The sequence below is a fragment of the Homo sapiens genome, chromosome 16 (assembly GCF_000001405.40).
Source record: "Homo sapiens chromosome 16, GRCh38.p14 Primary Assembly".
NCBI lineage: Eukaryota > Metazoa > Chordata > Mammalia > Primates > Hominidae > Homo > Homo sapiens.
In genome coordinates, this window is record NC_000016.10 from 23,379,866 (window position 1) to 23,396,720 (window position 16,855).

Sequence of the window (16,855 nt, forward strand, 5' to 3'; positions counted from 1 at the left end):
ACTCACGGGGGCACGCATGAGAGAAGCTCAGGACAGAGGAGGGCTGGGGCGGCCATCCCTGGCTGCCTTCCTGTGTGCATGTGTGCACGGGTGTGTGGGTACATGTGTGTGCATACATGTGGGTGTGTGCACGTGCATGTGTGTGCATGTGTCTATGTGCGTGTGTGTGTGTCTGTCTGTTTGGAAGGGGGATACATTAGTCCCGGCCCTTCTCGCTGCCTCCTGCAGGAAGGGAATTGTCAAGCTCAACATCTACTTCCAAGAATTTAACTATCGCACCATTGAAGAATCAGCAGCCAATAACGTGAGTTTAGGAGTCTCCCAATACCCCAGCCCTGCCCTGCCCTGACCCCTGCACCCTGAGGGTGGGGGAAGGGTTCTGAGCCCTATGAAGGAATTAGGAAGATCCCTAAGACAGTCCCAAGTTATTCCCCTGGGCCAAGATGGTCACCCCCTCCCGTTCCCACCCAAGAATCACCTCCCAGGAAGCTGTGAGGCTGGGCTAGAGGCAAGAATGTGTGGCCTGAGCTCACCCCAGCTCCCTGTTCCCCACAGATCGTCTGGCTGCTCTCGAATCTGGGTGGCCAGTTTGGCTTCTGGATGGGGGGCTCTGTGCTGTGCCTCATCGAGTTTGGGGAGATCATCATCGACTTTGTGTGGATCACCATCATCAAGCTGGTGGCCTTGGCCAAGAGCCTACGGCAGCGGCGAGCCCAAGCCAGCTACGCTGGCCCACCGCCCACCGTGGCCGAGCTGGTGGAGGCCCACACCAACTTTGGCTTCCAGCCTGACACGGCCCCCCGCAGCCCCAACACTGGGCCCTACCCCAGTGAGCAGGCCCTGCCCATCCCAGGCACCCCGCCCCCCAACTATGACTCCCTGCGTCTGCAGCCGCTGGACGTCATCGAGTCTGACAGTGAGGGTGATGCCATCTAACCCTGCCCCTGCCCACCCCGGGCGGCTGAAACTCACTGAGCAGCCAAGACTGTTGCCCGAGGCCTCACTGTATGGTGCCCTCTCCAAAGGGTCGGGAGGGTAGCTCTCCAGGCCAGAGCTTGTGTCCTTCAACAGAGAGGCCAGCGGCAACTGGTCCGTTACTGGCCAAGGGCTCTGTAGAATCACGGTGCTGGTACAGGATGCAGGAATAAATTGTATCTTCACCTGGTTCCTACCCTCGTCCCTACCTGTCCTGATCCTGGTCCTGAAGACCCCTCGGAACACCCTCTCCTGGTGGCAGGCCACTTCCCTCCCAGTGCCAGTCTCCATCCACCCCAGAGAGGAACAGGCGGGTGGGCCATGTGGTTTTCTCCTTCCTGGCCTTGGCTGGCCTCTGGGGCAGGGGTGGTGGAGAGATGGAAGGGCATCAGGTGTAGGGACCCTGCCAAGTGGCACCTGATTTACTCTAGAAAATAAAAGTAGAAAATACTGAGTCCAGCTGTGTTGTTTGTTTGACTGGGCAGCCGAGGTGCCCTGATGGCGGAAGGGCATCCATAGTGGCTTGAGACCCAAACTGGTTTAAGGGAAAGGCTCTCAAGCCCCTCCTTCCACTGCCAGCTCCCAGGCTGACACTCACTGATCCCTGCCTGGGTTGTGTACCCATCTCTGACCCAGTCAGTGTGGCCAGTTAGATAAGCTGCTCTGACTGGTCACACCTGAATTCATCTGCCCAGACCTGAAGCCAGTTTGGCCCCCAGGAGAATCACATGGTCCAAGGGCGGTGGGGGCACAGTACCCACGGTTGCCAGATAACAATCAGGCTGCTTGGTTGAATTTGAATTTCAGATAGACAAACTGATTTTTTTTTTTTTTGAGATGGAGTCTCACTGTCATTGCCCAGGCTGGAGTGCAGTGGCACGATCTTGGCTCACTGTAACCTCTGCCTCCTGGGTTCAAGTGATTCTCATGCCTTGGCCTCGCGAGTAGCTGGAATTACAGGTGCATGCCACCACGCCCAGCTAATTTTCATATTTTTAATAGAGACGGGGTTTCACCATGTTGGCCGGGCTGGTCTCAAGCTCCTGGCCTCAGGCGATCCACCTGCCTCAGCCTCTCAAAGTGGTGGGATTACAGGCATGAGTCACCGACCCCAGCCGAAAAACTGATTTTTTTAGTATATGTACATCCATGCAATACTAGAGACACATACAAATAAATCATTTGTTGTTTTTTTTGAGCATTTTATACATATATATTTTTATAGAGATGGGGTGTCACTGTGTTGCCCAGGTGGGAGTGCAATGGCATGATCATAGCTCACCGTAGCCTCAAACTCCTGGGCTCAAGCCATCCTCCCACTTCAGCCTCCCAAGCAGCTGGAATTACAGGTGTGCACTACCATGCCTGGCTAATTTTTTTTAATTAAAATTTAATTTTAATTTTTTTCATTCTGTATTTTTAATTGCTAAATACCGTCCCCCAAAAGCTTAAGGTACCCAAAGAGAGATCAGGGAGCTGTCACCAGAGTACGGTCTGGCAGGTGCACACACAGCACTGCAGCACCCTGCTGTCACCTACCGGGCCCCTGGTGATGAAGGAGAGGCTGGCTTAGAGCCTGAGCCTCTGAGGGCCCAGCCTTCCTGGCCTAGGTCACCTGTGTCCCTTGGTCTGGAAGGTAAACAAGCTGGCCTCCCATCAAGTGCTCAGGATGGCACCTGTGGAAGAAGGAGGTGCCACAGAGTCGGTGCCACTTCAGTCAAAGGCAACGTTGCTAGGGGCTGAGTAGGGAGGGCTGAGTAGGAAACCGGGTTTCCCAGCTTGGGGCCTGGCTAGCTCGCAGGCTGGGCCCACAACTCTTGGTGGTTACCACCCTTACTACTTACTGTGTGATTACCGCTGTGATTACTTACTACTGTGATTACCGCTTTTATTACTAGCAGTAGTAGTTGTGGCCACAATCACTGTTACCATTTGTTGTTATTAAACAAGGACTACATTGGATCAAGTACTTATCATATGCCAGGCACTATGCCAGTAACTTTTTAAATTTTATTTCATTCTCATAACCACTGAGAAATAGTATAATAGCATCCCATTGCACAGGTAAGAACACTGAGGCTTAAGAGGTGAAGTAAGGTACTCGAGGTTTTTAAGTGACAAAGCTGAGACCCCAGCCTCACCCTCTGGGTGCCAATGGTCATAACAATACCAGTCCCTTACGGGAGCCCAGAGCTTTCATATTTATTATCTTATTTGAAGCTATGGGGCATTATTATCTAGCCCGCGTGACAGCTCTTCAGTTACATGTCAATTTGAACAGGCTTAAGCTACAAAGGGAATTCATTAGCTCTTGTAGTAAAAGGGTTTCAGGCATGGCTGTATGCAGGGGCTCGCCTAGGTCTGGGGTTTCTTTTTTCTTTTTTTTTGAGATGGAGTTTTGCTCATTGCCCAGGCTGGCATGCAATGGCGCTATCTCGGCTCACTGCAACCTCCCCGTCCTGGGTTCAAGCGATTCTCCTGCCTCAGCTTCCCAAGTAGCTGAGATTACAGCCGCCCACCACCACATCTGGCTAATTTTTATATTTTGATAGAGATGGGATGTCACTATGTTGGCCAGGCTGGTCTCGAACTCCTGACCCCAGGTGATCCACCCACCTCGGCCTCCCAAAGTGCTAGGATTACAGGCGTGAGCCACCATGCCCGGCCTAAGGTTTCTTTTTTTCTTGTTTTGAGACAGGGTCTCACTCTGTTGCCCAGGCTGCGGTGCAGTGGCACAATCACGGCTCACTGCAGTCTGGACCTCCTGGGCTCAAGCAATCCTCCCACCTCAGCCTCCCTCAGTAGCTGGGACTACAGGCATGCACCACCACGTCCAGCTAATTTTTGTATTTTTTGGAGAGAGGGTGTCTTCCCATGTAGCCCAGGCTGGTCTTGAACTCTTGGCTCAAGCGATCCACCAGCCTCGGCCTCCCAAAGTGCTGAGATTACACGTGTGAGCCACCACGCCTGGCCCTATCTGGTGATTCTGTGTTGCTGTCCTTCTTAGAAAGGTTTCCTCCACGTGCTGTTCTTTCTGAATATCTCTTTACACCTGCAATTGCAGCCCTGTCCCCTCAGCACAGCAATCCCAGGGGGAAGAAAGCTCTTCCTGAACATTTTCCCAGCAATAGCCCCAAGAATGAGGCTTGTTTGGACCCACCCAGGGCCCACGATCATCCTGAACAGGTCATGGCAACAGGGAATGGATGAAGATGCTGCCTGGCCGGCCCTGAGTGAATCTATGGAGGGCGGCCCTTTACAGACACCTGTAAGAGGTCCTGTTCAGAGACATTTTGGAGCTGCCTGTAGATTGTGAGGTCAGGACCAGGCTGAGGGTGAGCATCAGCTTGCCATCCCTGCTCTCAAGGGGCCATGAGGGCCAGGCTGTGGTGCAATGGCCTCATTGCTAAAAGCAGGCTCCAAGTCATTCATTCCCCTGCCCTCTGGATCTAGCGAAGAGAAATGCTGTCCCGCTCCTACTCTGAGATCCCTTTTTCACGGCTGGAAACTTAGGCCTGCAGAGCCCAAATTGCCCAAAAACAGCATTCTGTAATTCCCAACTCTACCCCAAAAGGAAAGGAGGGTTACAGATGCCAGAAGACTATGAAATTAACATTGTGGGCTGGGCACGGTGGCTCATGCCTGTAATCCCAGCACTTTCAGAGGCCGAGGTGGGCGAATCACTTGAGGTCAGGAGTTCGAGATCAGTCTGGCCAACATGGTGAAACCCCATCTCTACTAAAATACAAAAATTAGCCAGACATGGTGGCGCATGCCTGTAATCCCAGCTACTTGGGAGGCTGAAGCAGGAGAATTGCTTGAACCCAGGAGGCAGAGGTTGCAGTGAGCCGAGATCACACCACTACACTCCAGCCTGGGACACAGAGCGAGACTCTGTCTCCAAAAAAAAAAAAAAAAAAAGAAAGAAATTAACATTGTGTACATGTGGCCACCACCACTGTATTTCAGCGGCTCTTCAAATAACCCTGTGAGTTAGGTACCATTTTGACTCCCAGTTTTCAGATTAGGAAATGAGGCGCGAAGAGGTGAGGTGACTTTTCCAAGGTCACACAGCAGCTGGGAGTTGGCGAAGCGTTGAATCAAGCCCAAGCCTGTCCCACTCCACAGCCTAGTAGCTCTCATGAGCCCAGCACAAAGCTCACCACAAAGCTTCCACTTTCGAGCAGCATGTGTCACCTTCCAGGTTTCTGGCTCTCGCTTCTTCGAGGCAATAGCCAGGCTCAAACCCTGCCAGGAACAGCCTGTGATCCACCACATGAGAAACCAAAATATTTTTCTTTGTGTGGGTTTGAAGCCGATGCTGTCGGGGCCAGCCAAACTGGTTCTGAGGATGTGAGGATGGCATGTGTGGGAAGCCCTGTGAGGACAGAGCCGGTGGGACACTGGCCCTAGTAGCCCAGTGGGGCTGGTTCAAGAGTGTTGGAGGCTGGGCGCAGTGGCTCACGCCTGTAACCCCAGCACTTTGGGAGGCCGAGGCAGGCAGATCACCTGAGGTCAGGAGTTCAAGACAAGCCTGGCCAACATGATGAAACCCCGTCTCTATTAAAAATACACAAATTAGCCAGACATGGTGGCATGTGCCTGTAATCCCAGCTACTCGGGGGGCTGAGGCACGAGAACCACTTGAACCCAGGAGGCGGAGGTTGTAGTGAGCTGAGATCACCCCACTGCACTCCAGCCTGGGCGATAGAGCGAGACTCCATCTCAAAAAAAAAGAACGGCCTTGGGGATGGCAGGGTCACTCCAGAGGGCTGGCCTGGGCGACCTGCCGGCCCGCTGGGATGTGTCCCGCCACGTGCCCACCGTGTCCCACATGAGGAAGGCTGCCTGATAGCCGGGCAAGAGTACAGGTGCCACGGTCACCAGGCTCACTCTGAACTCTGGCCCTGCCACAGGGTAGCTGAATGGCTCTAGGAAAGTCCTTAAACCTTGCCACACTGTGGATAAGACTCCCCGCCTCCCAAGGCTAGAGTGAGGTCTGTTTATTTATTTATATATTGATTGATTGACACAGGGTCTCACTGTCACCCAGGCTGGAGGGCAGTGGCGAGATCACAGCTCATTGCAACCTCCAATTCCTGGGCTCCAGTGAGCCTCCTGTCTCACCCTCTTGAGTAGCTGGGACTACAGGTGCCCACCACCAAGCCCAGATAATTTTTAAAAATTTTTTATAGAGATGAGTGTTGCTCTATCACCCAGGCTGGAGTGTAATGGTGCAATCTTGGCTCACTGCAGCCTCAAACTCCCAAGCACAAGCAATCCTCCCACCTCAGCTTCCAAAGTAGCTGAAACCAAAGGTGTGCACCACCACAGGCTAATTGTTGTATTTTTTTTTTGTAGAGACAGGGTCTCACTATGTTGCCCAAGCTGGTCTCAGACTCGTGGCCTCAAGCGATCCTCCCGCCTCAGCCTCCCAAAGCCCTAGGATTACAGGTGTGAGCCACTATGCCCAGTCTGTGGTGAGGTTTAAGTGAGACATCCCAGAGAGAGGCAGAGCTCAGCCCAGCCCCTGAGACCCAGGCAGGGCTCAATTCCAATGACAGCCCCTGTGACAGGCACCACTGCCATCCCCTTTCTTTCTTGTTAACAGAAACCCAATCAAGGCAGCCAATAAGCCCAGCTCAGGCTATAAATCCTGATTGGTCTAAGCCAGTGTTTCTCAACTGGAGGAAGTTTCTGGAGACATTTTTGGTTTCACAACTAGGAAAATACTACTGGCATCTAGTGGGTCAGGAAAGTTAAACAGCCTGCAACGCACAGAACAGCGTCAAACGCAGAGCTGTACAGCCCAAAACGTCAATAGCCAAGGCTGAGAAACGCTGGTAGAAGCCAGCCTGGGCTTTCCCGCCTCCTTTGTAGCGGGGATGCCTCATGACTGAGAAACAGCCAGTGAGGGCTAGGAGAAGGCTGGCCAGGGCTTCCAGGGAAGCCGCCACTTGCATGATAGAAGGGACAGAATTGCTGCTCTACCTTCTCTGCTCCCTTTTTCCCTGAATGCAGATGCAGCACCTGCAGTTGCAAGAGTCACCTGCCACGATGAGGCCTCCAGCACATGGGGCTAAGTTTCAAATCACAGGGCCTGACTCCAACCAGCCACTAAATCAGTGCCTGTAGCCACCACTATTTTTTTTTTTTTTTTTTTGAGATGGAGTCTCACTCTGTCACCCAGGCTGGAGTGCAGTGGCGCTATCTGGGTTCACTGCAACCTCTGCCTCCTGGGTTCAAGCAATTCTCCTGCCTCAGCCTCCAGAGTAGCTGGGATTACAGGCACGCACCACCATGCCCAGCTAATTTTTGTATTTTTAGTAGAGACGGGGTTTTGCCATGTTGGCCAGGCTTGTCTTGAACTCCTGACCTCAGGTGATCTGCCTGCCTCAGCCTCCCAAAGTGCTGGAATTATAGGCGTGAGCCACCGTGCCCAGCCACCTTTTACTTCTTTTTATTTCTTGTTATCAAGAAAAATTAATTTCTGTTTAAGTCACTCAAATTACGTTATTCCATTACTTATAGCCAAATATAATCTTAACAGATAGACGCTATTAATGAAAAACACTGAAGTTCATACACCATACATTTTAAAAAAGAAAAAATGTGGGCCAGGCACAGTGGCTCACACCCGTAATCCTAGCACTTTGGAGGCCAAGGCAGGAGGATCACTTGAGCCTCAGAGTTCGAGACCACCCTGGGCAACAAAGCAAGATCCCGTTCCTACAAAAAATGTTTTAAAAAATTAGCCAGGTATGGTGGTCTCCATCTGCAGTCTCAGCTATTTAACGGGCTGAAGCGGGGGAGTTGCTTGAGCCCAAGAATTCGAGGCTGCAGTGAGCTGCGATTGTGCCACTGCACTCCAGCCTGGGTGACAGAGTGAAACCTTGTCTCAAAAAAAAAAAAGGAAAAAACTGAAAGCCTAATTCCTTACCATGGCTGACGAGCCCCCTTATGATCTGGCCCCCAGCTTCTCCAGGGATACTGCTTCACCCTTTCCTCCATGAAGCCCCTCCTCTCCTGCCCCAGCCGCCCTTGGACATGCCTCAGGGCCCGGTCTGCACCACTCCCTGGGCCTGAACGCACCTCCTCCTTCACTCTCTGCCACATGGCTCTTACTCTGTAGGTCTCGGGCTGCCCACTTTATGCAGTGCCAGCTTCCACCCTGACACCCGCTTTTCTGCTAGCACTTACCTCTGAAATTATCCCCATTTACCTTCTTCTCCCTCCCTCTCCCACTGAACATAAGCTACAGGGGAGGACCCATATCCCTAGACATTCCCAGTGCGCACAACATGGCAGACATGTGGGAAGCACTAAAAAATGCACTGAAGAAGTAAGAGGCTGGGTGCAGTGGCTCACACCTGTAATCCCAGCACTTTGGGAGGCTGAGGCAGGCAGATCACTTAAGGTCAGGAGTTTGAGACCAGCCTGGCCAACATGGCAAAACCCCATCTCTACTAAAAATACAAAAATTAGCCGGGCGTGGTGGCGGGTGCCTGTAATCCTAGCTACTCGGGAGGCTGAAGGGGGAGAATCACTTGAGCCCAGGAGGCGGAGGCTGCAGTGAGCCAAGATCACACCACTGCACTCCAGCCTGGGTGAAAGAGTGAGGGGGAAAAAAAAAGAAGAAGGAAACAGTCTTCTTGCATTTCACAGTAGTTATTTATTCCATTTTCAAGATCTGATCCTTTAAAAAAATTATCTAAAAAGTCTTCTCTGATAAATAATACATCTTTAATTTACAACTCTTTTTGATTATACAAATGAACCAAGTCTTTTTTTTTTTTTTTTTTGAGACAGAGTCTCGCTCTGCTGTTAATTTTTGTATTTTTAGTAGAGATGGGGTTTCACCATGTTGGTCAGGCTGGTCTCGAACTCCTGGCTTCATGATCCATCTGGCTTGGCCTCCCAAAGTGCTGGGATTACAGGCGTGAGCCACCGTGACCAGCTGAACCAAGTCTTTTTAAAGTAACTTCTGCCCAATCTTGGGCAGAGTTTCTGAGCAAATCTGTGCTGGTGAGTCGCGAAACAGCAGCCCTGGCTCTCTTGGTGGTCCGGTGTGTGGTGGGGTCAGTAATTCACACTCCGCATGGTGGCCACGGTGGTGGCCAGGCGACGGGGCAGGCCTTTGCTGACCTGTCTATAGTCCTCAGGCCTGGTCTTCAGTAGCGTCACGATGTGCTGGAGGGTGCGGGACGGCTGCAGGCCCAGGGCATCCATCACGTTGATCAGATAGTCTGTGGGGGCGGAGAGGAGACAGACAGAGCTCCACAGACTCAGCACCAAGCAGGTCAGAGCCCCACAGGGCCTCCCCTGAATACGACACAGAGAAGCTGCCCTGCCAAGTCCCTAGATGTGGGGCGCCAACCCTGCCCTCAATAGGCCCTTTACTCACCAGGTTCTTCCCACAGTGTCAGACCAGACTGTGAGCTTGGCTCGAGTCTAGGAACTCTAATTTAATAAAGAACTAACCAACATCACTCCCATCCCCAACCACACACATACACACTCACATGCACACACACGCACACACACTCTCACATCCAAACTCACACAAACTCGCACACACACTCACATGTACACACACTCACATGCACACACTCTCACATCCACACTCACACTCACATGCACACACCCGCCTTCAGCACCAGTCTGAAGGACCAGCTGACCTCACCCAAAGCTCTGTTCTGGGGACTCCTGGGTTCCAAGCCCTGGCCCCCAGGGTATCCACTGACCACTTGGAAAACCCAGAGGGTCAGGAGACACACAAGCTTGTCTGAGCAGTTACTAAAGACCTCCAGTCAGAACGCCGCAGTGAAGACAAGGACAGTGTCTGGGGTGGGACCCTGGTATAACACAGGTTTCCACATTTCCCAGATGACCCCTGAGGCACTGGGGATACAATCGGATACAGATTTCTGAGCCTACCCCCAGACTAGGTTGATGAGCATCCCAAGAGAGGATTCTAGGGTTCTGTCATTCTACAAAGCGACCCCGGTGGTTCTAACCACCAGGCAAGCTTGGGCAAAACAGACAGCATGGGGGAGCAAACCAGGTGCAGCCAGGTGTGACCTCAGAGAAGCCCTTCTACCTCCCTGAGTCTCTGCTTCCATCTGTCCACAGTTACCACCCATCCGGCAGCATGGATAGGGGATGAAGCGGGAAACGAACATGAGAGCACCTGATGTGTCGCAGGTGATCAATATATCAATGCTGCCTTTCCCTCCTGCCTGGGCAGTGCAACCCAACCCAAGGGAAGCCTTGCAAAGCCTTCTCCAGCTCCTCCCAGTTCATGCTTGGAAAGACTAGAAGACAGCACCACCCGATATGCCCCTGGCTAGTTTTTTTTTTTTTTTTTTTTTTCTTTTCTGAGACAGAGTTTCACTCTTGTTGCCCAGGCTGGAGTGCAATGCTGCGATCTCGGCTCACTGCAACCTCCGCCTCCTGGGTTCAAGCAATTCTCCTACCTCAGCCTCTCAAGTAGATGGGATTACAGGCGCCTACCACCACGCCTGGCTAATTTTTTGTATTTTTAGTAGAGACGGGGTTTCGCCATGTTGGCCAGACTGGTCTCAAACTTCTGACCTGAGGTGATCCACCCACCTCAGCCTCCCAAAGTGCTGGGATTACAGGCATGAGCCACCGCGCTCAGTGCCCCCCCACCGGCTACTTTCTGATCTTGGGTTCATCTCTTCTCCTTGACTAAAGTGGAGCTCCAGGCAAGGCCTCAACTTTCCTTGTGTTTTTTGTTTTGTTTTGTTTTTAATATTTTGTAGAGACAGGGTCTCACTATGTTGCCCAGGTTGGCCTCAAACTCCTAGGCCCAAGCGATCCTCCTGCCTCGGCCTCCCAAAGTGCTGGGATTACAGGCATGAGCCATGGTGCCCAGCCCCCTGTGTTTTCTTTTTAGGCCCCACTCAGGGCAGGGCCAGGAGGAGATGCCTGCTCTGTCACGGCTGACTCAGGAAGAGCTGCTTCCCAGCAAAGGTGCCGCCAGGCACGTACTTACTCCTTTACAAGTTTATCCATAAAACCGTGAGCTCCACTTGACTGTCAGCCAAGAGCTGCAAAGAGCGGGCCCACAGTCTACTAGGACATTTTTGTTTGGCGAGCAGTGTTTTTTGTTCTGTTTGTGCTCATGCTTAATTTGAATGTCTTTCAGGTGTGCATGCTTTGCCACAGACCTCACCACTCTGTCGCCTTATACCCTGTCAGTTTCATATACTAGCCTTACCTTCCCTGCCCCTAACCGTACATCCTTACAGTGTAAGCTCACTAAGCATGGGAGCTGCCTAAAGCTTTGTTGTCTCTATCTCCTAGAACTACAGCTGGCACACAGATGCTCGAGCAATGCTGAATGAGTGAAGAAATGAATCTGCAGGGGGAGCTTAACAGGGAGGAATAACAAGGACAACTGAAACTGAGGGGCAATCCCTAGATTTCACTCCACTCACTAGTTCCAGTTCTTCCCCCTGCTGCTGCTTGTACTAACAGGGAACACCAACACGCATTTGAATTCTCTCATCTCTCTTTCTCTGAAGGGCAGTAGCCAAAAGGCTGCCTGTTCCTCTGGTAAGTGCTGAGAGCTGACTATGAAATGAGCAGGGGTCAGGAACTCAGGAAAGCTGGATCCCAGGCCTGGCTCCATCACTAACAGCTCTGGGACCCGGAGGAAAGCACCTTGCTTCTAGTTCTTCTTCTGCAAAACAAGAGCCAGAAGCCGGTTGAGCCTGGCTCAGCCCTGTGGTCACTGAGGACGAAGCTCTGGCTGTGTCCCCAGGGAGCTGATCTTTCAGGCTTCTACCACCCGCTCTCCTGACCACCCCGAGAGGTGCGTTAGGCTAAAGAGCAGACAAGGTATTGGAATGGCATCAAGAGACTGGGGAGACTCCCTGCCACCTGCCAGCAGTAGCCCCATGCTCAGAGTACACCTGGGCAGTGAGGCCCTCCAGTGAAGAGGGCAGGCAGGAGCAAAGGGGACACGCCCACTGACTTGGCAGGCAGGATGCTATCTGGATGGAGACCACAAAGTGACCCTGGCCACATGGCCTTGTTATGGAACTGCCCTGGGCCTCCGTTCCCTATCGGTATGATGGAGAAGAGAGCACCCACCTCACAGGGGAGTTTGGAATTACATAAGACGATGGGTGCGAGTGCTTGGTCCAGCGCCAGGCATGCCTGGTATGCAGTAAGAGCTCATTAAACACTGGTTGGGAATTATGGCACAAATGGAGCGGGCCAGGTGGGGCCAGGCTGCAGGACTCGCTGAATCTTATCTCACTGAAGCTCCCCTCAACGGTTCTCAAGTCCTCTTCGAAAACATAGATGTCTGAGCTTCAGCCCGGTCTTGCTAAGTCAGAATCTCTGGGGCAGGGCCTGGAGAACCTGAATTTTCAACCAGCTTCAGAGCCAAATCCACAGCTGAAGCTAAGGGAAGACTTGGGATGAGATTCCTGGAGGGCAAAGGAGAAACTGACAGATGCAGCAGGCAAGAGCTGTCCCTCCCACCGCCTGTCTTGTGGGGACCCACCGATGTCAGTGGCCAGCTGCTTGGCAGAGTGTGGGCTCAGCTCAGGGATCTGTAGGATCGCATCACAGTAGGTCTGCATTGTGGCTCTGGCGATCGAGCCCAGCCAGTTGTCAGCCATGTTGTCCAGCTCGGGCAATTCATCCCCTGAAAAGAAAAGGAGGTCACCAAGGAAAACACAGGCCTGCAGTAGCTGCTGAATGCACCAAAGTACCAGGAAGCTTCTGATCTCAATGGCAAACACAGGAAACCGAAAACAGTTACATCTTAGGGCCAGGTGCAGTGGCTCATGCCTGTAATCCCAGCACTTTAGGAGGATGAGGCAGGCGGATCATTTGAGGTCAGAAGTTCGAGACCAGCCTGGCCAACATGGTGAAACCCCCGTCTCTGCTAAAAATACAAAAATTAGCCAGGCGTGGTGGTGCGCGCCTGTAGTCCCAGCTACTCAGGAGGCTGAGGCAGGAGAATTGCTTGAACCCAGGAGGCGGAGGTTGTGGTGAGTCAAGATCGCGCCACTGCACTCCAGCCTAGGTGACACAGCAAGACTCTGTCTCAATAATAACAATAATACAGAATACAAAGTTACATACAAAATACCATCTGCTTACAGAGCAGAGCCAGAAGGCACAAGCGAAAGTGGAAATACCAGTGCGTTCCGCAGTGGGATGTGGTTATAGATTTTTCAAGTTGTGATATTGTTTTAGATACAGCATGTGTACAAAAAGTACATGTTAGAAGGTTAAAAAAAAACAGGACTTGGTGACAAATGAGCCCAAGGATAAGGTGTCATCTGGAGTTTCTACCCTGGAAACTGACAGCTTGACTTGTAACATCGCCAGAAACGGTCCCCGCTTACCCTGCTCAGGAGGAAATGGCAGCTTTCCAGCGTGCAATGCCAACTCTAAGGCAGAGTCCTCCTGAGTCACAAATGGCTCAAGATTCAGGGGGAGGGACATGATGTACTGCCCGATCTGAAACAAAAGAAAGCGCTGTTAGCCTGACATTGACACATACGGGTTATTACTTTATGGGTACATTTGTGTGAAGGCAAACGGCAGAGAGACAAAATTGCTAGACCTCGGGTGATCCCAAGTCTGATCTTTCTAGTATGTGGCGATGCTTGTTATGGCAGTACCCTAAAAAAGAATCACTGGTAGCTTGCATATAGATTATAGATTCATCCTTCTTATAATGACCTCAATATTTTTGAAATGCATTCAACACAATCTCTATCTCCAATGAAGTAATGGATATCAAAATGCTTTGTAAAATTTGAAGCATTGTGTAAATATAAGTATTATTACTGTTCATAGGTGAAAAACCAGTAAGATACTAGTGTCAGAATGTGTGGGGCCAAGCAAGAATTCAAATCCTGTCTTCTGAGGCCAGGCACAGTGGCTCACACCTGTAATCCCAGCACTTTGGGAGGCCGAGGCGGATGGATCTCCTGAGGTCAGGAGTTCAAGACCAGCCTGGCCAACATGGTGAAGCCCTATCCTACTAAAAGTACAAAAATTAGCCGGGGATGGTGGCAGGCACCTGTAATCCCAGCTACTCGGGAGGCTGAGGCAGGAAAATCACTTGAACTCGGCGGGGGCGGAGGTTGCAGTGAGCCAAGATCATGCCATTGCACTGCAGCCTGGGCAGACTCTGTCTCAAAAAAAAAGAGACTCTGTCTCAGAAAAAAAAAAAAAAAACCTGTCTTCTGGATTTGGATCTGATTCTCTCCCTCCTAGATAATTTAACCAGAAGAAGAAAGGAATTCTGTTTGAAAAAAAGCCATTTATAACTATAAATTACTTTGGAGAAAAAACTATATTGTTTTCATAATATAAACTCTTGAAACTAAAGATAGACAAAACCTTGGCTGGTGGGGAATTGCAAAAGGTCATTTGCAATTGTCCTAAAAGACATTTAGGACATGCCCACAATTAGCACAGTCTTGGTCATGTGTTTGTCAGATATCCACGTGATGCCAAGAGTGTATTTTAGACCACTGTTTCCTATTTCTATTGTAATTCATTGTTTTGTGTTTTAAGGTTAAGTATGTGTTTTGTTTCAAAATAAGGGGGTTGACTTTTCAGGTTTCAAAATGATAATATATGTTTTTAAAAGGTCTTTCTGCCTGTTGTTGTTTTTTTTTTCTTCCTGCTACATATTCATTCCATGACATTCCTGTCACTGTTAATTAACTCTGTAAACTAAAAGTCAGGAGACTATCAAAGCAAGAGCTTCTCAATCTGGCCTCACACATGTCTACGTAACAGCGGGCTCCTTTCAGGGTGTAGTGTCCAGAAGTTAACACAGACTCGAAAATCTACCCAGACCAGAGAACTACAGGATGATCATGCCCTTCTTTCCAAACATTCAATATGGTTTGGCTGTGTAAGTGTAAACATCCATTATTAGTTTGGTGTTCCTTTTTTCTTTTTTCTTTTTTTTTTTTGAGACAGAGTTTTGCTCTTGTTGCCCAGGCTGGAGTGCAATGGTGCAATCTCGGCTCACTGCAACCTCCGCCTCCTGGGTTCAAGCAATTCTCCTGCCTCAGCCTCCCGAGTAGCTGGGATTACAAGTGCCCACCACCACACCTGGCTAATTTTTTTTGTATTTTTAGTAGAGACGGGGTTTTACCATGTTGGCCAGGCTGGTCTTGAACTCCTGACCTCAGGTGATCCGCCCACCTCGGCCTCCCAAAGTGCTGGGATTACAAGCGTGACCCACTGTGCCTGGACTGGCGTCCCTTTATAAGAGGTACACAGATGGTAAAATAAATCATTTTTTTCTTTCATGTACTTAGTATAATCTTTCACCCAAAGTAAGCAAGTGGCCACTTACCTCACTAATAACAACAGCTACTGTAAATTTCAGCTTGAAGTGTTAACAAATTCATCATTTTTCCCCAAGGCTGGGGGAAGAGAAGGATGCTGATTTCTGGTGTTGGAATTTCTCTGTACTACAATAATTCCTCTCAACAAGCCCTTCCTGAACACCTACTACGTACAAAGACCCCAGACATACTCCTATATTTGGTATACCTTTCATCTGTAGCCATAAGCTTTGGCTAAGTCCACAGACTCAGTTTTACCTTGCATATATATTGTTTTTAAATTTCAAAGCATTTTCTCCTATTTCATCTCTTTACAATGCTCACATGATTCTGTGTGGGTGAGGGCTTTCACCAACAAGGCAAAGTATCATTTAGGTGAAAAATTTCAGTAATCTGACATCTCTAACTTCAATCAATTGGCCTTAGACTGTAGGGATTGCTGGGGTTCCTAGATCTCACAGTGCAGGTTTCTCTCAGGGATCTTGTCTCTATTCACTCCTTGGAAATCAATATGGAAAGGGCTGCTTAGCATCCCACCTGTGGGTATTTGTCTACTATTCTCACATATGCAATCAATATTTCTTGATATCCTGGTTGGGTTAACTCACTGACTTGGGAAAAATGAAAAGTTTTGAGGTCAGACAGACTTGGGTTGGAGTTTTGGCTCTATCACTGTGAGAACCTGGGCAACTTAATCTGTCAGGACCTCGGATCATCATCGCTGAAATGAGGATGACCTCATATTACTTCAAAAGGTTGTGGTGAGGGTAGAATTAATACGTGTGCTATGCACGTAAAGCAGCTGGCGTCCTAACAGAGCAGCCACTGGGTAAGTCGCTGCTTCCTCCCAGCCCCACTCCCACTGTGAAGGAGGGCTGCCACACCTGTCTCATGGACATGATCTGGCCCAGCCACTAAACAACCTGGCACTGTCTCTGCACACAGTACGTGTTCAATTAGGTGTTCCTTTCCTGGGTTCAGGTCATCAGCCTCCGTACAGCTCAGGAGGACAGCAGCAGGCAGGGAAGGGCCCGGGCCTGGAAACTCCTCCTAGCCCTCATTCCCTCTCTAGACCTCAGTTTCTTCAACTTTAGAATCAACTTGGTAGCCACTCAGGTCCCTTCCAGCACCATCATTTTCTGAATCAATTTAGACTGCAAGCATACTATCTCTGCTCTAAAATCAGATCATTCAGCCGGGCACAGTGACTCATGCCTGTAAACTCAGCACTTTGGGAGGCCAAGGTGGGCAGATCACTTCAGGTCAGGAGTTTGAGACCAGCCTGGTCAACATGACGAAACCCTGTATCTACTAAAAATAGAAAAATTAGCCAGGTGTGGTGGTGGGCGCCTGTAATCCCAGCTACTCGGAAGGCTGTAGCAGGAGAATCACTTGAATCTAGGAGGCCAAAGTTGCAGTGGGCCAAGATCGCGCCACTGCACTCCAGCCTGGGTGACAGAGGCTCCATCTCAAAAATAAATAAATAAATAAAAATAAAATCAGATTATTCCCATGGG

At 50.3% G+C, this 16,855-nt stretch overlaps 2 protein-coding genes across 7 annotated transcripts in view, besides 1 other annotated feature; one reads left to right on the top strand and one right to left on the bottom strand.

Annotated features, from left to right (window-relative positions):
- Positions 1–1,429, top strand: part of SCNN1B (sodium channel epithelial 1 subunit beta) — a 103,064-nt gene extending 101,635 nt beyond the window's left edge. For all 5 annotated transcript variants that reach the window (XM_017023525.2, XM_011545913.3, NM_000336.3 and 2 more), the window contains 2 exons: positions 229–304; positions 556–1,429. In XM_017023525.2, the coding sequence (XP_016879014.1) occupies positions 229–304; positions 556–936 (457 nt within the window). In that variant the 3' untranslated portion in view covers positions 937–1,429. The remainder of the gene's footprint in view (positions 1–228; positions 305–555) is intronic.
- Positions 193–694: an enhancer, noted in NCBI's record as "H3K4me1 hESC enhancer chr16:23391379-23391880 (GRCh37/hg19 assembly coordinates)". NCBI's record gives its function as "activates a minimal SCP1, AML or CMV promoter by ChIP-STARR-seq in naive H9 embryonic stem cells {active_cell/tissue: H9 hESC(naive)}" and the evidence as "EXISTENCE:reporter gene assay evidence [ECO:0000049][PMID:30033119]".
- Positions 8,628–16,855, bottom strand: part of COG7 (component of oligomeric golgi complex 7) — a 64,697-nt gene continuing 56,469 nt past the window's right edge. For both annotated transcript variants that reach the window (NM_153603.4, XM_017023870.2), the window contains exons 15-17: positions 13,368–13,482; positions 12,515–12,658; positions 8,628–9,221 (exon numbers count right to left, since the gene is read on the bottom strand). In NM_153603.4, the coding sequence (NP_705831.1) occupies positions 9,055–9,221; positions 12,515–12,658; positions 13,368–13,482 (426 nt within the window). In that variant the 3' untranslated portion in view covers positions 8,628–9,054. The remainder of the gene's footprint in view (positions 9,222–12,514; positions 12,659–13,367; positions 13,483–16,855) is intronic.